We start from the raw sequence: 24,279 nt of genomic DNA on the forward strand, positions 1-24,279 counted from the left end.
GATTTATTGTCATGGCTAGGGATTTTTACAAATAATATTCTCTCAAATAGGGGAAAGTTTAAAAATTCTCTAAGTTCATCTTTTGTGTTAGGTTTGTACATACAAGCCAGTACTATTCACCTGATCATATTGTATTAATTCAGCTTGTAAAAGAAAAGTATCTTTCAAACTAGCAGTTTCCCTTATATGTTTTCCAGAATCATTGTTCTGAGAAAGATAAGAGGTATCATTGTTTTTAGCAGGTGAGAATCCAGGCTTTCTAGACAGTTATGACCCATATTCTAAAACTAAAGCTCAATTAATTTGGATCTACAATTGCTGTCAGCTATAGTAAGTTAGAAGCATAAACTTTATAGCTGAGGTGACTTAAAAGATTGTACCCTAAAACTTAAAGTATAATAATAATAATAAAAAGATTGTCCAATGAAACTTTCTCTGTTTGCACAAGAAGAAATTGTGGACTAGACAGCTTAAGAGGTTCATCCAATTTCACATGGTTAATCTGTTGGTGTAATTAGGACTTGAACCCAGATTACCATCTGCCTTTTCAGTATTCTTTTTACCAAAACATACTGTCTTTTTTGGTGGATGTATTAGTTATCTACTGCTGGGTAACAAATCACCTCATATGATAGTGGCTGGAGAAAACTGTAGCCATTGCTGTAGAGCCTTGCTAGTGATTCTGTTAAATATGATAAATCTGCATATCTCTAAGAAACAGCCTCTTTATCAACATGTATTAAGACCACTTTTCCAACTGCCTGCCTGGTCACTATGTCACAAACTGATACATGTATAGGACAATGATGTAGTAAAATGTATAGTTATTTAGTTTCAATTTCTGTTTCACCAGAAATTATCACTTAGTTGTAACTGCATATAAAATAAGTTTAGTTAAACATAACATACCCCAAATCCCAACAGTTTGAAGTTTATTAGAGGAAAACCAATTTTAGAGACAAGGACCATAGATTTTCCCACACCAGCTGCAGCATTTTACTCCCTTCTGGCAAAGCAGTTATTTAGGATGGAAGGAGTCAAAAATGTCTTCTTTAGCCCAGATTTCATTGCTTTCACAAGTGAAAGTGAAGATGTAGACTGACATTTAATGAAGCCAGATATTTATGCAACAATTTTGGACTTCTTTGCACCTGGTTTATCCTTAGTTTCTGAGGAAGCATCTTCAGGAGAAGAAGGATCTGGAAAAAAACTTATGGTAAAAATAAGAAATTGTTAGAAACTAGAATATGGCCAACTCTGGAGAAGATAAAGGAGAAATGGCCTGTAGAGGATTTGAGAATGGTGTTGTACAGCTGAAATGCCAAGGTTCTTTACTAGCTGTCCTGGTCCAATCATTGCTTTGAAATATGAAATTCAAAACATGCTCCAGCAGAGGCAGGAGATGTAGAGAATGAATGAATCAGATGAAACGAAGTGAACTCATCTTGGTTTAACCTGTGCTTTCTTTGGGCCCAGCAGTTGCAATTTCTGAGAATGTATTTTAAACTGTTATTATTAATCTTCTAATCTTCTGAAAAACTTTGTTGAGCACCAATAAAATATGCCACTTTTTTCAGAAAAAAATATTTCAGTGGCTTAAAATAAATAATTTTATTTTCTCCTAATTCTGTTGAATTCTCTTGAATAGTAGAATTTCTCCTAATTCTGCTTCAGCTGGGATCAGTGGATATTTTTTCTGCGAGTCTCACATGAGGTCACTTATGTGACTGCAGCAACTTGGAGGCTTAATGGATGAAATAATCTAAGATGACCTCGCTCACATGTCTGGCTGTTGGCAAAACCCACACCCCTCACCAATTGTCAAGAAGGCTAGCTCATGCTTCTTTAGAAAGTGTTACTTGGTTTCCAAGGGGTTGACAATAGAAGCTACAAGGCCTCTAAGGCATAGACCTGGAACTCTGATAACATAACACCCATCACATCCCATTGATCACAGGGAGTTACAAGGCAGACCCAAACATAAGTAGGTAAAGAAACTGCCTCTGCCTCTTGATGAAAGGAACATTAATGTCACACTGCAAAGAAGTGTGCACACAGACATGAGAGCATTTATGCCTCTTCCCCCTGTTTTTGGAATCAGTATTAGTGGTTATGCTAAAAGTTCTTGCCATTCTTTTGCATCGGTGTTTACACAATATAATACTTTGTTAAGATGCAGAGAATCTAATTTCTATTTTACTGCAGGTAACTCACTCCTACGGTTACATACTATAGAGACAATGCTTTTCTGATTCAAATGAATGGCAATATTGATATTTTTAAGATTTTTTTCTTTTATTACAAGTCAATGGAGAAGGCTGACAATTATATGTGTATATATACATGTATACATATATGTATATACATATATCATATATGCGTGTGTATGTGTGTGTGTGTGTGTGTGTGTGTGTATATATTCTCTCAGAAAGAGGTTGAGGGCAAAATTAGTCCTGTAGTGTGCGTGTGTTTTGGTTTCTGTTAAATGATGATCTATAATTGATTTGTGTGCCAACTAGAACTGCCTCAGACTGTTTTCAGCTATTTTGTTCTCAATTCAATATGTAGCATTATTCACAAAGAGCATTACCGCCCTTTCCCAGATAATCAATCATAAACTAAAGAGAAAAAGACTGTTTTTAATGGGATATTGAGAAAAAGAGGAAGTGACTAAATGACTTGGGTGAGGGGGAGTGATCTTAGTAAGTATGAACTGTTTTGTAATAGGTCCAGCTTTCTTAGCATTCCCTTTTTATTTAACCTTATACTGTTAGAGATGTCAGGGCAGAAATCAATGTAGGGGGTTAGGGACAAGCATTCAAGCCTCATGTATCTAGGCACTTTATAGACAGTATGTTATTTAAACTTCCGAACAATTCTATTAAATGGTATGTATTTTTACCTATTAGATTGTACCTATTTTTCAAATTAGAAAACAGGTTTGAGAAGGTTAGTAATTTATCCAAATTCATACAGAGAGAAAGTAACAGAGGTGGGAGAAGGCAACACATGAGCTTAAATCCAAATCAATATTCTTTCTCCTATTATACATAGTCTTTTGATTTAGGGATGTTAACATCATTATCCCTAATTTTTCTGCATTTCTAAAGGGTCATAAGTAAACAGGTACAATAACCTGCAGTTATTAAATAAACACAAAGAATATAGGGCACATTGTATCTGATAACTGTTCTACTAGAAACATTTATCAATAAGCATTGCTTAAAGAAGCCACAAAAATATCTTACCCCCCTTTTCAGGATGATTACAATTTGGGCTGGTTTATTTCACTGTTTTAGAGGAACCACTGGGAGAAATGTGGGTTGGTAATGAACATTAATGGGCTGTAACTTTGTTATATTAAATCTTTAATCTGGCCTTTAAAATATTAATTTAGAAGTCCTAGGTTCTATGGTGAAGGAGCAAACTAATTCAATAAGAATCAAATCCAATGTGTGTATTTGTTTTTACATTATAACATCTCTGAAATCAGAATTTCTCTTACAGCCAGTAATAAGAAAGCATTTGTCATATTTTAATTGTTTGAGAGTGTCCTCAACTCAAAATGACAAGCTAAGGCAGGCGGCACCACTCTTTTCTCTCTTTTATAGATGTGGTAACTGAAGCACGTAAATTTAAGTAGCTTGTCCAATGCCACACAGGTAGTAAGCGGTAGAACCAAGATTTGAAGCAAGGAAGTCTGAGTAGCAAGAAAGTCTGAGATAACAAAAATAATCTGACTTTGGGGTACAAAATGCAAAATCTGGAGAAATTTGGAGAATGGAAAACTCACAACGAATGGCATGTCATTGGGAAAATTTCTGTACCCTAGTCTTTATCCTAATCTTTATCTTGCGGCTAATTCATTCAGTGATGTCATTGGCCCATTGCTTTCTCCTCTCTGATACTCCTTCTGCTCATCTTCACTCTCCACTCCTCATCATTAAGCTGATATTCTCTGGTCCAAAGCCTCAGCCTGTCTCTAATCAAATCCTATACTCCCTTTTCCTGTGATAGTTCCTGTTTCTTTCAATAGGAAGCTCAACAATGAATGAACCCATCTGTGGGTTCAAACATAGATGAAACAAACACAGAGAGAAATCATACAACTGGGTAGATTCTTGATCACTTCCCTCAGCTGGACCCTCAAAACTTTAGCAAAATCTGCTCTTTTTCCCTTTAACTGTCTCCCACTTTTTTCACACCGACTCTTTCAAGTATCCTTCACCTGCTTCAAGTCTTCCTTCTCATTTTTTCTCCAATTCCAATTTACTCTAAAATATCTAACTTTATCTTGAATTATAATCTAACTAAAATGTTAAAATGTCATTATAATAACCATGCTGAAAGATGTTCATTCATTTTTATGGAACAAAAGTAAAAATTAAAGGCAATGTAATAGCCTAATTTTAGAAGAGCCAGACTTAGAACTAGTCTCTTGATTACCAATAATGATCTCCATTTCCCGTTGTCTCAAAAAGTGGTTCATGCACATACACACACACATGCAAAAATACACACAAGCACATATATATTTGACCTTATGTTCTCTTCCTGTGAATTGGTAATTCATTCATGTGGTTTGAAATCAAAATCACAACACTTTCCCTCTTATCCACCCCATTTCCTCCTACCCACTGTAGGTGGACAGCATTCCAGTGTTTCTTTGTGCAAATATATATGAATAAAAAACAAGTATTTTATATTTCTACTTTTCATATTAAAATCAGCATTATTTGTATATATGTATTTATTTTTCACTAAAATATTTTTATCATTTTCTGTTTATTTGCTATTTTAGTACAGTTGACCCTTGAACAACGTGGGAGTTAAGGGTGCTGACTTCTGCACAGTCAAAAATCCATGTATAACTTTTGACTCCCCAAAACTTAACTACTAATAGCCCACTACTGACTGAAAGCCTTACTGATAACATAAAGTTGATTAACATGTATTTTATATGTTATATTTATTATACACTGTATTCTTACAATAAAATATGCTAGAGAAAAGAAAATGTAATTAGAAATCATAAGGAAGATAAGATATATTTACTATTCATTAAGTAGAAGTGGATCCTCATAAAAGCCATCATCTTCATGTTGAGTAGGCTGAGGAGAAGGAAGAAGAGAAAGGGTTGGTCTTGATTGTCTTGGAGAGGGCACTGGTGGAAAAGGTGGAGAAGGTGGAAGGGGAAGCAGAAGAGGCAGGTGCACATGCTGTAACTTTTATTGAAAAAAAAATCTGTGTATAAAGTCTTCACAGTTAAAACCTATATTGTTCAAGGATCAACCACAGTTGCATAGCATGCTAATATATGTATGCACTATAGTTTATGTTCAACTGTTCTCTATTGTAGGCCTCTTGTCTGTGTCCAACTTTTTGCTTTTATGAGGAGTGCCACAATGAAACGCTGGTATACTTGTCATTTTGTTCATGTGAAAGTATATCTAAGTCAGTTCCTAAAAGTGGGTTAAAGAAGAAAGAAAATTAATAATTTTGATGCCTATTTTCCCATAGGTTTGACAACAGAGTATATTTATCACATTTTGCTTTTTTTGTCAATATGATAGGTGAGAAATGATAGCTGAGAAATTTTCATGTTTAAAAACTGCTTGTATTTTTATTACTGAGAATTACTCACATCCTTTTCTAATTGCTTATTGTATTGGTGGTCTTTTTCTTCTCCATATCTTAAAGCTTGTTATTTATGTAGGGGTTTAGTTTTAAGTTTCTGACATCAATTAACAATTTTTTCCGCTTTGCCCTTTTTATGTGTGTACATTTTATTTTGATGTGTTTTGCCTTGTGGACTTCTTTAAAAAATGTAATGCAACTTCTTAGTCTTTTTCCCTCATAGTTTCTGGATTTTTGAGTTACAAATAGAATCTGCTCTTCCAAGGCTATGAAGAAATGTGTCTATTTTTTTTCTAGTACTTTTATGGTTTCCCTTTTACATTTATGTCTTTGGTCCACTTAGTGTTTACTGATAAGGATCAGAATTTGTCTTTTGATGCTTATCCATTTGTTATAGCACCATTACTAAAAACTTTGTCCTTGACTCACTGATTTGAGATACTACCTTATCATATAATAAATTGACGTTTCTACTTGAATCTATTTTTTATTTGGTTTCATTCACATGTCTGCTTATTCCAGTGCCAATAATTTACTGTTTTAGTTGTTAGAGCTAGGCTGTCTAATACATAGGTTATTGAGCACTTGAAATGTGACTGGTATGAGATGAGATGTGCTGTAATTGTAAACTATACACTGGATTTTAAAGATGTAGTTTAAATAAAGAATTTTAAATATATTAATAATAACTTATTTTGATTACATGTTGAAATAACGTTTTGATATATTGGCTTAAATAAAATATATTTTAAATTAATTCTACCTTTTAAAAAATTTTTATATTGTAGCTACTAAATGTTTTAAAATTATATAGGTGGCTTTCGTTAATATTTTTATTAGATAGCACTGCTTTTGAGTATGATTAATACCTAGTAGAATTATTCCTACATCAGTGTTCTTTAAAAAAAAAAAAGTTTTCCTGGTAATTTACTCTTTTTTATTTTTTCCGTATACACTTAGAATTAGCTTGTATATTTCTACAACAAATCTATTGATATTTTTATTGGAATTGTGTATAATGTGTAAATTAACTTATAGTTTATATTTTCATTATGTTGCACCTTCCTATCCAACAACATGATATGTCTTTCTATTTCTTCAGTCACGCTTAGGTGTATTTTAGGAGTATTTTCAGGTTTTGCTTATATAGGTTTGGCACATTTTTCAAAGTTTATTTCATAATATTTTATCTTTCTGTGGCTATTGTAAATGTATATTATTTTCCATTTATCTTCTCACTTGCTGTATCTACGTATGATTGATACTAATTTTTATGAATTAATTATTTTCCTTGCTATCTTAATTCATTCTCAATTATCTTGCTTTTGTAGTGTTTTTCTCCATTTTATTCTTTTGTGTTTTCCAATAACAAAATTTTCTGCAAATAGGAAGAGTTTTCCCACCCCCTTTAAGTGTTATATCTCTAATTATTTTCTCTTGTCAGTACAAAATGAAATAGCAGTGGTGAGTGTGACTATCCTTTTCTTGTTTAAACTTCAGCAAGAATGTCTCCATTAGGTTGAATGCCAGTTTGTGGGCTGATATTTCTCTCGTCTCTCTGACACATACACACAACGCACACACGCGCGCGCGTGCACACACACACATACACACATGCACTGTTAAGAAAGTATTCATATATACTTATTTTGATGAATGTTTAAAAAAATCTAGAATGGATGTTTAATGTTGTCATGTCTTTTCTGATCCAAGGAATGACTATATAATTTTTTTCTGTCAATTAGGTGAATTAGATTAATAGATTTGATGGTTTTACTTGTGATGTACTATAATTTTAAAGTAGTTCTTTTTTTAGTTTTAATTTTTTTACAGCAGCATCAATTTATACTTTGATTTGCAAATGTAAATTAAGATACAGTAAAGAGTAAAATACAAAGAAATGAATGCATGCTGTGCATAGATTATTGATGAGTATTCGCAAGCCATTCTCAATCCCAAGCTCCCTTGCTGCTTCTACACTGAGTTTGGAGGTAATTGCTCACCACACACCCTCATTTTTAGTTACGAGAGGCCAAGTGACTCAATTATGGCCCATATGACAAACAGCAGACTTCCAGGGAAACTTAGAAGAATATTTGCTTTCCTAACAAGAAGAGGAATACCTGGCATAGATTTCCTTCCTCTTCCGTCTTCCCCCTTCTTCCTATTAAATGCCAACAGTGACTGGCATTCAACTCCCATCTTGGCATTCCTGAAGATGTTCAGCTACTACACCTCTTTTCTTCTTGTTATGTTAAACCATTTCTTGATTTTGCTTTTTAACATCTCACTTAGGATATTTGCACTGATATTCACAAGTGAGATTTTTCTGTAGATGCTTTTGAATTTTTTTCATGTTTTAGTATGAATGCTTTCATTGCTTTTTAATTTTTTTAAAAAATTTATTGTCCTTACTGTTTTCTGGAATAGTTAAAATTGCATTGGAATAAGCTATTATTTGACAGTCGTTTCCATCCTACTAAGATTGAGAAGGAACTTCCCTTACATAAAGGTTTTTAAAGGCTCCAATTCTTTTCTGGATCTCACCCTCTCTTAATGTCTCATAGACTTTGAGCCATGGTTATACATACTGTCTCCTCATGATTTTCAGTGTTTCTCTTTATGCTGGCCCTTTCCTTCAGAATGTAAACATATGCCTACTTATCAAATTTAAAACTAAACAAAACTCCTACCAAACTCATTGACCCAAGGAAAACAAACCATCGTAAAGTGCAGCACTTCCTCTGATTATTTCAAAATCTTTCTTTTCTTCCCTGATCAGACTTTTGGGAGAGTTTTCAACACTGACTGTCCATTTTCTCCCTTCATTATCACTCTTCAGCACACTCTACTCTGCCTTCCCCCTTAGGTTACTAATAACTGATGGGTCTGCGAATCTAATAAGCCCCTTCCTGCAACATTCACTACCTTTCCTCCTTTCCTTTGGCATCTGTGGCCACTCCTGATTGTTGTCCCACCACTCTGATATCCATTCACTCAGAGCCAACTTGTTTTTAAGAAACTTCAAACTTAAAATATCTGAAAGTGAGTTAATTACGTTTCTCCACCCGACAACACAGAAAATACTGTTTTGCTGGCAATATTCTTTGCTTCAGTAAATCATGCTTCCATTCACCAACTTTTCCAAACCAGTAATATGGGAGTCATCCCTAGTATCACTCTGTTCCTTATATTCGCTGTCACCAAGGACTGTTGACTCTAAATCTGAACTCCTTCCCAATCCATCTAATTTTCTTTAATCCAAACCATCCATTCCCTATCTCTTTCATTATTACTGCAAGTCTCTCACATGTCCTCTCCAACTCTAATTTTGCTTCCCCTTCATCTGTTCCTTGCATTGCTGCTGGAGTGATCTTTCAAAAACACAAACTTGCAAATGACTCCCTGCATAAAAGTACTCAGTGATTTTCCATTTCCTTCAGAATAAAGTCCAGACTCCTTAGCTGCATTATAAGGGCCTGTGTGGTCTGGCCTCACTCATATCTAACAGTTCTCCTTACAAATTACCCCCCTTAGAAATGAAACTATTTCCACATTTCAAAAGTGGTGAGGTATCTCTCTCACTTAACCACCATATGCTGCTTATGCTGGCCTACCTTTTGGAAATCGTCCCTTTCCCTCTCCATTTTACCTGATAAATTTTTGATGATGTTTCAATTTAAAGCGTAGCGGATCATCTTTGACAACTAAGCTAACTTCTCTTGTTATGGGTTTCTTTAGAGTCTAGTATTTCCTTGTCTTAAGACTGATCACACTTAATTGTGGTTATATAGTGTCTGTCTTTTTTGTTGGAATGAAGACTGTGAGGAGTTGAGAACTATCAGTTCCCTGAGCCTAACATTTAGATACTGAATAACAGCTGATTACATGAATGAATGAAGAATATTTGTTAGAAGACAGAATTTTTTTAGAATTTTAAATTGCAGAGATCAAGTGAGAAGGTTCCAGTTGTATTAGATCTGAGAAATGTGATTAAAGCAGTGTTTTTGCAAGATTAATTTGACATTTTTCTGTTGAAACAGATTAGGGACAGATTAGATGGAGGTTTGTAGTGATGAGAACATAGACAAGTGGCTTCATATTAGAGTCACCTGGTGATATTAAAAAAAATACCTGTTTCCCAAGCTGCCCCAGACTGATTAAATTCACTGATTGCAAGAAAACCTAGGATTTGTACTTTTTTAAGTCAAACGCTCACACCCATCCAGGATTTTCTGAAGTTAAAATGGTAACAGTATAATTGGTATGGGCAAAATATATTTTTCCTAAGAATGATAGAATGTGAATGTGGGCTTTTCAAGTCTAGTGGACCAGAGAGCCCCATTGCAGTGTTAAAGAAATGGCGAAGTAGAAGAGGGGAGTTGTTTTAAAGAAAGAGAGAGTGACCAGGCCAAAAGTGGCTCAGTACTTTGGGAGGCTGGGGGGACAGATCACCTGAGCCCAGGAGTTTGAGACCAGCCTGGGCAACATGGCAAAACCCTGTCTCTACCAAAAATTCAAAAAATTAGCCAGGCATGGTGGCATGCATCTGTGGTCACAGCTACTCAGGAGTTTGAGGCGTGAGAATCTCTTGAGCCCAGGAGGTGGAGGTTGCAGTGAGTCAGGATCATGCACTCCAGACTGGGTGACAGAGGGAAACCCCATCTCACTATCTCCAAAAAAAAAAAAAAAAAAAAAAAGGAGGAGTAAGTTTTAGGCATGTGGGACACATATGTGTATATATACACATATATACACATACAATATATACACATATATGTGTGTATATATACACATACAATATATACACATATATGTGTGTATATATACACACATTTACACATACAATATATACACATATATACATATATAATATATAATATTATGTGTATATATAATATTATGTAAACATATATCACATATTAAATATGTATATAGGTATATATGTATATATATGTTTAAATACCTGACCATCTTCTACTAAGTTATGATTCAAATGTTCCGTTATCTAGGAGGCTTCCTCTCCTCTGCAGGGCCCATTGTCCTAGCTACACCTCAATAACTGCTTTCTTTTCTTTTTTTTTTTTGTCTTTTCCTCAACTCAATTCTAAGCTCTCTAAGGACAAGTATGTTGCCTTACTCATACTTGTGAACTCAGTGCTCAGGACACTGGCATGCATAGAATAAACACCCTCTGAATGTTTGCAGAATGAGTCAGTGATTAGATATGAGACTGGATGAATTCTCCTGAAGAGTAAATGCTAAGGAGAAAAGAGTGTCTTGTAGGAGGCATTTGCAGACAGACGAAGCTATAGAGAGGGACAATGCAAGTAACCTCAAATGAGAGTGTGGAAAGGCGGGAAAGCAGCCAGAGCTTCATTGTTATGAAAAAAGAGTGAAATGTGCTCTGTTGAAGAGTTGAAGAATGAACAAAGGATATTTAGTTTGAATGGAAGCTCAGTAATGAGAAATGAGAATGGTTGAGTTCTTAAAAGAAGCAAGTAAAGAAGAGGATTTGTGGGCTACTAATCTCATTCAGTGAATCTCATACGACCCTTGCCTAGTGTTAAATATGTTAATGAATTCATGTCATGCTGCTCAGTCTTACTAGCCTTCATCATCCAGAGTAAAATGCATATGATTCCTATGAAAATTTGTGGAAAGGAATATATTAATAGGTTAGAAGAATTAGAAGAATGAAAAGAAATAATTTTTGCTTTTTAAATGGAGAATCATGCATATTTGGAGACACAAGGGAAGAAGCCCATGGAGAAGGAGAGATGAAGCTGTAAAAGAAAGATGCTATGAATGTGCTCTCGACAGGTGAGAAGATGCCTCGACAGGTGAGGAGAGAGTATTGTGAGCCCAAGTAGAGGAGATGGCTTTGAGATGCAGAAAAATATCTCTTTCTCAAGACCCCATTTATTTTAGACGGTTCGCGGAGCAATGGTGCTCAATCAATCTTTACCATAGTTATTACATAAACCCTTTATACATTTCATCATTAATATTCTTTTCTACTATGGTTTGAGATGCAGAATAAGGAAGATAAACCTATTTGTCAGTATTTGACCATAATCAAAATCAATTTTTATCTGGAGTCTTTATGTTTGTTGCATGTGTATATGTGTTTAAAAACTAAGTTCTGGGAAGATAGCATTACACTTAATTCCGTTGGATTACTTTTGGATCATGTAAGCATACTGATTTCTAACTTGTTTAAATATTTGAATTATTTGATTCTCTACCAGAGATTAATAACTCTAAAAAAATTTACTGGTTGGATTAAAAGTGCCTGTAGTTTATCCCTATATTTCATAGAGTACAGAGCGAGATAGCACATTTGTCTGACAAATTTATATTTATGTCAGATAATATCAGTTTTGTTATCACCATCTGCATTCTGCTATATTTTAACAACAATGTGAACAGTATACATATAAAATTGTGGATTTACATGAGATATCATCATTAATTTTCAAATAACTAAACGTTATTTTGTTAGTTTAAAAACTTTAGAGTATTAAGTTAAATAGCAACTGCAGTTCTATTTTGTGTTCTTGGAAATATTACACTTTATAGAGGAGTCTATTAAGGGAAGAAGAAAACCATGCCAAATTAAAGATAGTTTAAATGATAATATAAGTGATAAAAAAACTGTTTTGATATGAAAGGAAGTTATTACATGGTATCGTGGTTATTTACTGAAGATTTATATAGTGTTTATATAGTACATGACCTACTTTTTTTAAAGTTGCTAATTGTCAGGTATCCCAAGCCAATATCTACTGCATATTTTCTGTAACAATATATGCAATGAAATTGTGTGTTATGTTTACATTATGATTTCAACGTTTGTTCTTTTCTTCAAAAATTACAGGATATCATAGAGACTGCTAGTCAGCGGAACATGTTATCCTAATATAGGTATATTTATACAAGATTTAAAATAAAGATTTTTCTATTTTCTTAATATGTGTCTAGAAGTTAAATAAACATTATAATCACAGAAGTCAGATAAAAAGAAATTCATAGTCCTCTAGACAAAAAATGTAAATCTTTTAGTTTATTAATCATTTGTAATCATAATCTAGATGTACATTTTAATATCAGAAGAATTTCCCATGTAACCACATAGTCTCTATAATGTTCATTTTAATGGACTCATAATAATAAAGTTAATATTTATTTATTTAAACACTCCTTACTGTAGGACAATTACGTTGTTTACAGTTTTCCAAATGTAGATAATATTGAACTACACTTCTTTGCAACTGTCATTTTTTCTTTCTCCTAGCTTTGGATTCACCAGACCTAGGTTTAATCTTAGCCTCTACCACTTACTAGCAGTGATTTTGGAAAATTATGTAACTACTAAATTTTAGTGCCCTCAACTATAAAATGTGATTACTATTTATTACTTTGCAAGGTTTTGTGGAAGTTAAATTCTGCAAATATTACATTCTTTTCATGCATATTTATTGAACATATATTCTGTGACAGGTGCTATTCTGGATTCTAGGGATATTCTACTGGAGAAAACAAAAGCTGAGCTGTGAGGGCATGCCACATTTAGAGGTTGGGTCATAGAAAGAAGTCAGAAAAAGAGAGAATCATTAGCCTAAGGAGAGAATCAAGAGAGAAATTGTCTTCTGGAAGCCTAGTGAAAACAGTATATTTGACAAGCATGGAGTGATTTAGAATAAGAGCAATGCAAAATAAAACTACTGTCTCTCATGTATTACACTGGACAGCAACTTGATAATACCTATAAAAATTGTAAGTGAATTTACCTTATAATTCAGTAATCCCACTTCCAGGAACTTCTACTATATACATAATGCATATAAAAGGCACTAATATGAAGTTATGACTGAATATCACTATTCATTGAAACATTTTATATAGCAGCAAAAAATTGGATATAACCTGATGTTCATCTATAGGAAGCTGATTATTCAAACTCAAGTGCATCCACATGATGGAATATTATGCAGTTTTAGAAAAGGATAAGGAATCTCTTTACAGAGCTAATATGAAAAATCTCCATGTTGTATTATTAAGTAAAAAATACTTATCTATACCTTATCTATAATAAAGGGAGGGGCTAATGATACATATCCATAGTTGTGTGTGTGTGTTTGTGTATGTACACTTTAAAAATCATTTTGAGGCCAGGCATGATGGCTCACACCTGTAATCCCAGCACTTTGGGAGTCTGAGGTGGGTGGATCACAAGGTCAGGCGTTCAAGATCAGCCTTGCCAAGATAGTGAAACCCCGTCTCTACTAAAAATACAAAAAAAAAAAAAAAAAAAATTAGCCAGGTGTGGTGGTAGGCGCCTGTAATCCCAGCTACTTGGGAGGCTGAGGCAGAGAACTGCTTGACCCCGGGAGGCTGAGATCGCAACACTGCACTCCAGCCTGGGTGACAGAGTGAAACTCTGTCTAAAAAAAAAAAATAGTAACAATTATTTTGATATTTGGGTAACTTTTTTTTTGATAAAGGGTGCAAGAAGGAGAGTAAGATCAACTCTTTCAAATGCTGCTAATAGGTTACTAAGATGAGCTCTAAAATTGCCCATTAGGTTTGGCAAAGGAGATATTTTAAAAAATACAACATCTTCTAGAAGCTGTGTTGAAAGGGGAGGAGATACATGGAATGGTAGCTAGAAGATGATGTGAGGCCAATGGAAAAAATATTGTTAGGGTATATAGTGAGGTGACTAATTCACCACACACTGATGTTAATAATTCACTCACAGATTATAGAGGGGAATATTGATGATGCAAAGACAGTGAGAGAATTACTTGTGTGGGTAAAAAACCTAACAATGATGATGCATCTGGTCCTCAATTCCTTTTGGATTCCCATTTTCATACTTCAGAGTAATGTCAAGCTACACTCAACAGAAATATTTAACCACCTTCTTCATTCCCTTACATGTGTTCCCTTTTAAACTATTTCTCTACTGTGTGGAAGTACTGATAGATTAGAACAGATAGACCAGATCAGAATTCTTAGAGTTCTAAATAAGACCGTATATGTAGCTATCTAATTTAATATTAAAACCATCCTGTGAACTTTATGTTATGATTTCCACTTTACAGATAAGGAAACAGGTCTTCAGGTTATCTTGTCCATGCTTTAAAAATGGCTAATGGCACATTTCAAATTCAAATGTCATTCACCAGATATTTATTGAGCACCTATCTTGCATTAGGCATTTATCTAGGTATGGAAATAAAAGGATGAATTAGATTGATATGACCTCTGGCCTCATAATGGCTGTAGTCTTTTGAGGGAAAGAGATTCAGTAAATCATTATGATTACAAGAGATGTTACAACAGGCAAATGCTATGTACAAGTAGAAACAAAATTCTATACTGAGAAAATAAGCTATAATCAAATGTGCTATGGGCCATCCTGTGGTTTGAATGTGTCACTCAAAGTTCATATATTGGAAACTTAATCTACAATCCCACAGTGTTGGGAGGTGGGACTTAATAAAAGGACATTAGGTCATGAGGTTTCTGCCCTCATCAATGGATTAATGTCATTAACTAGGGAGTGGGTTTGTTATCATGAGCATGAGCTTGTTTTAAATATGAGGTCACCTCCCTCTTGCTCTCTTGCCCTTGTGACCTCTCTTGCACTTCCTCCTTCCACCATGGAATTATGCAGCATGAAGATCCTCACCAGATGTGGCGCCATGCTCTTTGACTTTCCAGCTTACAGAACTATAAGAAATAAATTTCTATTCTTTATAAATTACTCAATCTCATGTATAGGGACAAAAATTGGGACTATGAAAGGCTATAAGTAGAATAGAATAAAGTATTTACTTGTGATTCACATAAATTAATCAGTTAAAATGATTATAAATAATATTTATAACAATAATATTTATAATTATATAATCTGTCAAGGATCACAGAATAAAATATCTTTTAAATATATAATAGGACTAAAAATCCCACAATATTTTGTGATACTAGTTATGTAATAAAACAGTTTACCTTATTCTTCATTTAAATCTTAACATTCTTAAACTCAATCATAGTTTTAGAAAACTTGAAAATAAAACTCAAACATCTAAGTTTTTTGTTGCTTTTTTGATGCTCACCTCTCAAGAGTTTCATGAAGAAATAATAAATATAATCTTTATTTTATTTTATTTTGAGACAGGGTCTTGTTCTATTGCCCCATGCTAGAGTGCAGTGGCGCAATCTTGGCTCACTGCAACCTCTACCGCCCGGGTTAAGGTGATTCTCCAGTCTCAGCCTCCCAAATAGCTGGGACTACAGGCACTTGCCACTGCACCTGGCTAATTTTTGTTTTTTGTAATAGAGACGAGGTTTTGCCATGTTGGCTAGGCTGGTCTTGAACTCCTGGCCTCAAGTGATCCACCCACCTCCGCCTCCCAAACTTCTGGGATTACAGTCATGAGCCACTGTGTTTGGCCTTATCTTTAATTTTTAAAACCATGTTCTTTGATTCTCTGGAGGAAACAGTGTTGGAATAAATAATAAATTTGTAAACCCAGAGTAGCATATAATCTTGACTTCATTCACAATAATTGACATTAAAAACAGCAAAGTACATCTCATAGTACCAAAATGCAAGAGGTGTGGGGAGAGACACAAACTGAAGGAAACACAATAAAAAAAGAAAAGCACATGTCATAAGTCAGTTAAATTTTTGAACAGATTATTATCACATACAAAAAGTTGTCAACAATTTTATATATCTGATTCAATACCTTGTCTCAGTGTCATGAGAACGCTAAGGAGTAACACAGGGTTACCTTTTTAAAAGACTTTATTCTTTTAGCGGTATGATGCATCTATCTTCTTTTGCATTTAATTCAGAAACCGGAAGAATTTTCTCTGAGTTAAATTTGAGGTGGATGCCACTGTGCAGTTTCACTAAAATACCCAGACAGTTTGATATGATGTGCACAATCTGTTAGCTCAGGAAGAACAAGAGAAAGATGTGGTTCTTGTGTATGTATGGAAAGTCATCATAACTTCCTTCACTCAGTTTCTGTCTTCTTCCAGTCAGGGATCTAGTAGCTTGACTATTCTTCATTGGTTCCCTTTCATTTACAGGTCACCCAACAAGACAAACCACACAGGTAATCTCTTCTGATCCCTGCCATCGCCAAGAGTCATTTCCTGCCCTCATCACTTTCTAAATTCTATCCAATTCCCAGAATATCCATGCTCCTTCTCACTGTCCCTCATTCACATAATGCCTAAAACACTATTCCTGCTCTTTGCCTGATGAGCCCTTACTCACTTGTCAAGACTCAGATCAAATTGTCAAGACTCAGATCAAATTGTCACCTCTTCTGGGAGGGCTTCCTCAACCTCTCTAAGTGGAGTTAATCATCTCTGCTCCCACAGTGTATTTTTTTGTTCTCTGTTAGTGATTTTCTTATTTAACTGTCTAGCTCCATTTCTACATTGGTAGTCCTGGGATGGCAGATTTTAGTCATCTTAGTATCACTACCTGGAGCCTGGTCTATACTTGATGTTTAAGAAATATAAGTCTGGGTGCGGGTGCAGTGACTCATTCCTGTAATCCCAGAACTTTGGGAGGTAGAGGCAGGTGGACCATCTGAGGTCAGGAGTTCAAGAGCAGCCTGGCGAACATGGCGAAACCCTATCTCTACTAAAAATACAAAAAAAAATTAGCCAGGTGTGTTGGCGCACACTTGCAATCCCAGCTACCTGGGAGGCTGAGGCATGAGAATCACTTGAACCTAGGAGGTGGAGGCTGCAGTTAGCCAAGACCACACCACTGCACTCCAGTCTGGGTGACATAGTGAGACTCCGTCTCAAAAAAAAAAAAGAAAGATAAGAAAAGAAATAAAAGCTGGGTGTGGTGGCTCATGCCTGTAGTCCCAGGTACTCAGGAGGCAGAGGTGGAGGATCCTTATAGCCCAGGAGTTTGAGTCTAGCCTGGGCCAAAAGAGTGAGACCCTATATATAAAAAAAATGTGCTTAATAAGTCATTTTGGGGAAAGAATGGTGGAGATGAACATCAGAGAATGCTTAGTGGCCCTAAATTTGAGCATGAAGACTTCTTGCTACTGGTGAGGGGGAAAGAGACAGATCATGCACACGCACTGAAAAAACAAAGGGCAACAAGAGTTGGACAAATTTTCAAAGAACTGCATTTCATCTATTTCAAGCGATCGTTTCTAAAGGGCACTGCTTCAAGAGTGTTTCATTGGAGTGTGGTTTTAATAAAGTCTAGAGCCATTTGCTTGTCCTCAAGATGTTCCTTGTAACTCTAAGGCTATATCTAAATTAAAGCTAATGACCAAACAGAGATATTTTTTTCTCTTTTAATGTCTAGCAGGAAAGAGCCGTTAGCAAATTTATGAATTAGAGTCTGTTTATAAGTTGCTGAGAAGAATCATCGTGTATTCCCTTAAGCAATTCCCTCTATCTTAAGAAGTTTAACTGATATGCTCAATGAGCAAGACTCATGGGATGTAATCAAAAGCAACTTTATTTTTTCTCCCATATTCTAATGAAATTTATTCAGTGGGGAGAAGTTCCTCCTCTGACCCTGGGTAAAAACTCACACAGGCTAAAATTTTGTTTATTCTTGAGTAATAAAAAGCCCTACAGCCATTTTAAGTCGCAAACGTAGTCTTCACTGAATAATTAGAAATGTGTAGGGTCCTATGTAATAACCAAAACTTGTAATTTCATTCGCAGTTGGAGGAATTCTTTGTCCTTACAGAGGGCTGGATGCACAGCAGTACTTTCTCTTGTCTTTCTTCCTTCCTTCTCTCTGGCAAGTTGTTCTATTTGATACTGCCAGTGTTGAAATTCCAGAAGGGACGGTGGCGAAGAGGCCCAGGTTTTACTTGGCTGACACTGCTGTGCAGTGGCATTGGAGGTTTAAATCTGTTCTTTCCCTCATGAGCTTTTTGCCGTTTCTTCAGAGACCCTCACTGGAAGCCTCTCTGACCCCACTTCCCTAGAGGAGGGTAATTTGGAACTCATATGGGGCATTTTCCTCTGCCTGGCTGTTCCCTTATCAGCCCCACATGGATCTACCCCGTTGGGCTTACCTTGCCCACCAGATCGTCCTCTTTATCCAGTTTTTCCATAGACTCCAGGCTGGCCCTTGCTTCCCTGGGCCACACTTTTGAATCCCGATAGCCACACTGGTGTAGCCCATGTCAATCTATTTCACTGCCTGCTACCTCAGATTGACAGCAGAGCATTTTTCCTTTAGATTTCTCAGGTGTATGCCAGACACCAGTCCACTGTGCCCCCCGAAATCCAGGTAGCACATATCGGGGCATACATTTGGCCCTATTGTCTAAGCTTGAGCTGAGAGGAAGATATCTCCTTCCCTGTCTACTCACAGCACACTGAAGGCTGTCTCTAAAGAATGGCTTTCCTTACAAATCCTCTTTTAGTTTTCAAAATCTTGGCCATTTTATATCTTTGGTGGGGGTGAGGGTTTTCAAGAGTCCAATAACCACTTTTCACCCATTCATTTTTAAATTCTGGGCGTGAAATTCACCCTTTATGGTATCTTAGTATCTGACTTGGTGAAACTTCCACTTTAAATTCCTGCTACCAAAGTAAATATTTACAAAATGGTTATATTAAGAGACTTGAATGTGTTATCTTTCACTGATAGACATTATTGACTTTTACATATGAATTTAGCATTAATGATCTGTGTAGAGCCCCCTAAGTAACAAATAAATTAATTGTTTTTTATGCTTATAATATAGATCTTATCTTGAACCACTCACAGGCCTAGTGAGTGAAGAAGTGAACGTGTGAATTTTAATTATTCTTCAAAAATCCTCCAGATAGTAAGTGGATTGGATTCTAACATATACATGTATGTGTTTATTTGGAACCAGGAAGGCATTTACTTATAGAGTGCTATAAATAGTTGCTTTGTCCGTATTGTGCTGCAATAACAGAATAAATGAGACTGGGTAACTTACAAAGAACAGAGATTTATTTCTTATTGTTCTGGAGTCTGGGAAGTCCAAGTTTGATGGACTTGCATCTGGTGAGGGCTTTCATAAAGCATCATCACGTGGTGGAAGGCAGAAAGGCAAGAGATAGGGTGAGAGCAAGAGAGGTGCAAACTAGCTTTTATAACAAGTTCCCTCTTGCAATAACTAACCCACTCCTGTATTAATCTATTTATGAGAGGAGAGCCCTCATCAGCTAATCACCTCTTATTAGGCTCCACTTTCTGGCACTATTGTATTGGGAATCAGGTTTTATTGGCAGACACAGTCAAACCATAGCAGTAGTTCACAATAGATTTATAGTTGAATTAAACCACAATCAGATATCTAGGTTAGCTCTAGAGGAACTCCATAATGTCCCTCAAAGCACTAGCCTATGATCTGAATCCCAAGAGCACAAAGGGGACATATGGCCTTGGTGGGAAAAGTGAGGGTTTGTTTTTGTTATTTTTTTTTCTTTTCTGTGAGATGGTTTCACTCTTGTTTCCCAGGCTGGAATGCAGTGGCACAATCTTGGCTCACTGCAACCTCTGCCTCCCGGGTTCAAGTGATCCTTCTGCCTCAGCCTCCCGAGTAGCTGGGATTACAGGCACCCACCACCATGCCTGGCTAATTTTTTGTATTTTTAGTAGAGACAGGGTTTTATCATACTGGCCAGGCTGGCCTCAAACTCCTGGCCTTAGTTGGTCCACCCACCTCGGCCTCCCAAAGTGCTGGAATTACAAGCATGAGCCACCATGCCCGGCTTTGTTTTTTTAATGAGACAGAGTCTCCCTCTGCTGCCCAGACTGGAGTGCAGTGGGGCAATCTCAGCTCACTGCAGCCTCTGCCTCTGGGGTTCAAGTGATCCTTGTGCCTCATCTCCCCTAGTAGTTGAGATTACAGGGTATGCCACCATGCCCGGCTAATTTTTGTATTCTTAGTAAAAATGGGATTTCACCATGTTGGCCAGGCTGGTCTTGAACGCTTGGCCTCAAGTGGTCTGCCAGCCTCCACTTCCTAAAGTGCTGAAATTACAGCTGTGATCCTGGCAGAAGTGAGGGATTTTAAAATCTCTATCTTATACTGAATTGGATAAAATGTTTAAATAGCTATTATAGGCTAGAGGATACAAAGTAGGAGACGTGGGCTGAACGAGTCTAGAGATCTAATGATGAACATGAGGACTAGAGGGTAATACAATTGTATTATATTTGGGATTCATGCTAAATGAGTAGATTAGATTTTAGCCATTCTTGCAACGAAAATTAAAAAAATGTATAGCTATATGAGATGATGGATATATTTGCTTCATATAGTAACCTTTTTACTATTTTTACTGTAGAGCAGACATTTGTTGACCCTGTGTTCTAATATTTCTCTCTGTCCAAAGCCAAGCTTTCTGTTCTGAGTTTCCTACATTCCTAATTCACCTTCCCTTTTCATAACCGCAATTCACATCAATACCACGGATCTAAGCTGTTGATAGTAGAAAGTGTTCTGATTGAATTAATTCACACCAGTGTTTAAATGGCTGGAAAATAGTTCATCCCGGCCAGGGATCCAATATTTTCATCCTTAAAAAGAAGGTTTATTATTTCAAATTAATTTCATGTGTAAAGGTATAAGAGCACCTCACATAGGGCTTGGCATATGTTAAGCTTTCAGTATTATTTGTTGAATGAATGAATGAATGAATGTTGGGCTTTCAGGCAGTATGAAGAATGAAGTAAACTTTTTTTGTGATTTAGAGAAGATATTTTTAAATAGAGGTGGCACTTCCTGAGGTAGATAGCTTTAGCTTTAGAGTTAGCTCCTTAGACTATTTTAACTTCAAAGTTGTAAAGATGAAACCCATAGAGTATTTACAAATTTTTAAATTTTCACAGCTCTATACCTAGAAGTAGAAAAGATAGGCAGTGGAAGATTGGGAAGTTTGGGGATTAGGATAGGGACTATGATGACAAAAGTCAAGTTTGTAAATTGAGGTGATCTGAACTGAAATACAATATGGATAGAGTATAAAAACTGGGTTTTGCCTCAGGTTTCCTTAGCTTTTTGGTCCAATTTATCTGGATCCTTCTATGAAGTCCATATAAAATGTGCTCCCTGATTTCTTCCACAATTATTTTGCTTCTCTAAAAAAACTGTGCCAAAGGCTGGGCCCAATAGGGAAAGAAAAAAAAAAAAAGAAAAGAAAACTGCATTGTGTCTACCAGCAGTGATGATCAATATCTAAAGAGGAGGCTGATGAACTTGTTTGAGCTACATCCTAAATTGAGTCAGGGCTGGTGCTCTTGAACTGTTTTCTCCAGCCTAGGCAATGGGTAATTTGGTCTGCAAAACAATGAGAAAGGCAATATTGAATTATGCATGCTCATAAAGTTCCTGAAATTACCATATAATTAATGCTAGATAAAACTACCCTTTACTACCATAAGGAGCAAGTGGGCACAGGTAAACTGGGGCATTTTCCAAATAAATACTGATATAAAGCACCAGGAGGAAAAATGGTTTGACAAACTCAATGTATGTTTCACATAGAGTAAGGCTGTAGGGTTAAAAATAAAAGACGGGTGGGGGAAGAAATGATCGATATGCAAATAATCTGAGGCTAATTGAACTTCCTAAGGGAGTCGAGTTTGGGAACCTGCTGGTTGTTTAAGAGCAATGAATTCTGAACCTGTACAACTGCACATTGAAGAAGATTATTCATGTACTTAAAGAGGTCATGGTACCTTTTAATGCAGCTGCAGGAATACTGCTATAAACACTGCACAGATAGTAATCTTTGAGCCTCAGATAGGAGCCAGAGTTAGCTTTGCAATGCTGCCTGCAGAAAGAAAGATCTCATTTGTGAAAATAACCACTATGTTTTCATATTGCCAGACATCTGCTCTTGGCTAAGAACAACATGAAAGGGGATTTGTTTTCTGGTAGGGTTCTGTCTTTCTGCAAAAGAAGATCTTCTTTTGAATTAATTGACCATCTCAACAGAATGGCCTACATTCATATCTACAAATTAATCTAATTAGGGCCTCCTCCTTGGGTTAAAATTGCTATTTAACTCTTGTGGATGCCTAATAGCATTCTTGTTCCTTTGCTTTACATCAAGGTCAGCAATTACAAATGCAGAGTGCAAGGTATCTTGGGATACAAAAATACATGATGTAAGAAAGTAGGAAGATTAACATTCTGTGGCACTTCTGGTTTGTGTATATCCAGCATGACACTCTCCTGTCTACACCTTTGAAGATGAAGTACCTGAGCACAGAGAGGTTAAATAAATTGCTTAAGATTCCTCAGCATATAAAGTGGAAACCAGGTTTCAAATCTAGAGCTGTCCAACCCTATAACATAGGATCTTCCCCCCTGGGTTATACTGGTTCCCTTAAGGAATTTCCTGGCTGCAGGAAAAGCAAGAATTATTAACAAAATATACCTTGAAATAGGAAGCACCTATGCTGGGGAGTAGGGGTGGGACATTTCTAGACATTTCATCAAATGGCTACTAACTTGACAGCATCTTCTGAGTACACTTAGTGTTTCAATGTTTTCTTCCCAGTGACACTGCAGTTTCTTTCAGGTCAAGATTTTTGACCTTAATCTTATTTCCCCCTATCGTGCCTAGCAAAGTATTGGTAACAAAGGGAAGAGTTCTGTTAACAAGTGCTGTCTCACTTTGAAAGGAACAAAGGGGTCCAAATAGAACCCCCACTTTGTCATAAAGGTGAACTACTTGCATATTTCACAGCCATGCATTTTGATGTTCAAAATTCAGAAGCCTATCATGTCTTTCTGACTACGAATTGTAGATATTTAGGCAAAGTACACATTTGTCTAAGAAGCCCTCTCCTGATTTAAGTAGCAAAGGGCCAGAAAACTGTTTTCTTCAGAAGGATTTTTTATGATGTGGTCAAAATGACATGGTTGCCTAATAAATAGCAGGTCATGCTAATCGGTCCCTTATGGGTTCACTGTGATTTCACAGCAGACTCCACACACCAGCAACTTGAATGATGTTGACATTCTAGCTCTGAACAAGGTAAATACAGTTCAGGCTGGGCTATGAAATAAGTGGAAGTATCTATTTGGGGATGCTAATCAGATTTGGATACCGGCCCTTAAGTATTCTCATGATTGTGTTTTGGTTTTAGTTTTTAAAAAAAATCTATGGGATTTTATTGAAAGTGAGAAAAATGAAATCTCCCAAATAAACATGGGAAGGATATTAAGTGGCCTGTGTACTGATAGAAACTGAAATGTACTGCAGAAAAAAAAAAGAGCTATGCAAAATCCGCATTGTGTCCAGTTTCCTTGCTCTTTGATGAATACCAGACTTTGACATATCTGAAATGGCTTGGAATTAAGTCAAAATGTCAATGGAGTTCCCAAACATATTTGTATATTCGCTAAAGAAGGAGCATTGGACTTCGAGTCAGGAGATGAGTTCTAGTCCTGAGTCAGTCATAGTCTGTGTGATGGCACAGAAGTCTCTTAGCTTTTTGTCTGTTTCAATGACCTCATGTGGAAAATGGGGAAAATAAGTCTTTCCTTGGCCAACCTGAAGATATTGTAAATATCAAAGATAATTGATGTATACTAGTAGTGAGAAGAATTTTGAAATGCTACAAAA

The 24,279-nt window shown here is 36.0% G+C and overlaps 1 long non-coding RNA gene and 1 pseudogene across 1 annotated transcript in view, besides 1 other annotated feature; both read left to right on the plus strand.

Annotated features, from left to right (window-relative positions):
• LOC124900404 (uncharacterized) overlaps window positions 1–24,279 on the plus strand; it is a 228,127-nt gene that overhangs the window by 21,732 nt on the left and 182,116 nt on the right. The gene's annotated exons all lie outside the window — the stretch shown is intronic.
• Window positions 704–1,390, plus strand: NFU1P2 (NFU1 iron-sulfur cluster scaffold pseudogene 2; annotated as a pseudogene).
• Window positions 10,772–11,321: an enhancer, noted in NCBI's record as "NANOG hESC enhancer chr1:98552438-98552987 (GRCh37/hg19 assembly coordinates)". NCBI's record gives its function as "activates a minimal SCP1, AML or CMV promoter by ChIP-STARR-seq in primed H9 embryonic stem cells {active_cell/tissue: H9 hESC(primed)}" and the evidence as "EXISTENCE:reporter gene assay evidence [ECO:0000049][PMID:30033119]".

This window comes from Homo sapiens, chromosome 1 (assembly GCF_000001405.40).
Source record: "Homo sapiens chromosome 1, GRCh38.p14 Primary Assembly".
Classification (NCBI taxonomy): domain Eukaryota; kingdom Metazoa; phylum Chordata; class Mammalia; order Primates; family Hominidae; genus Homo; species Homo sapiens.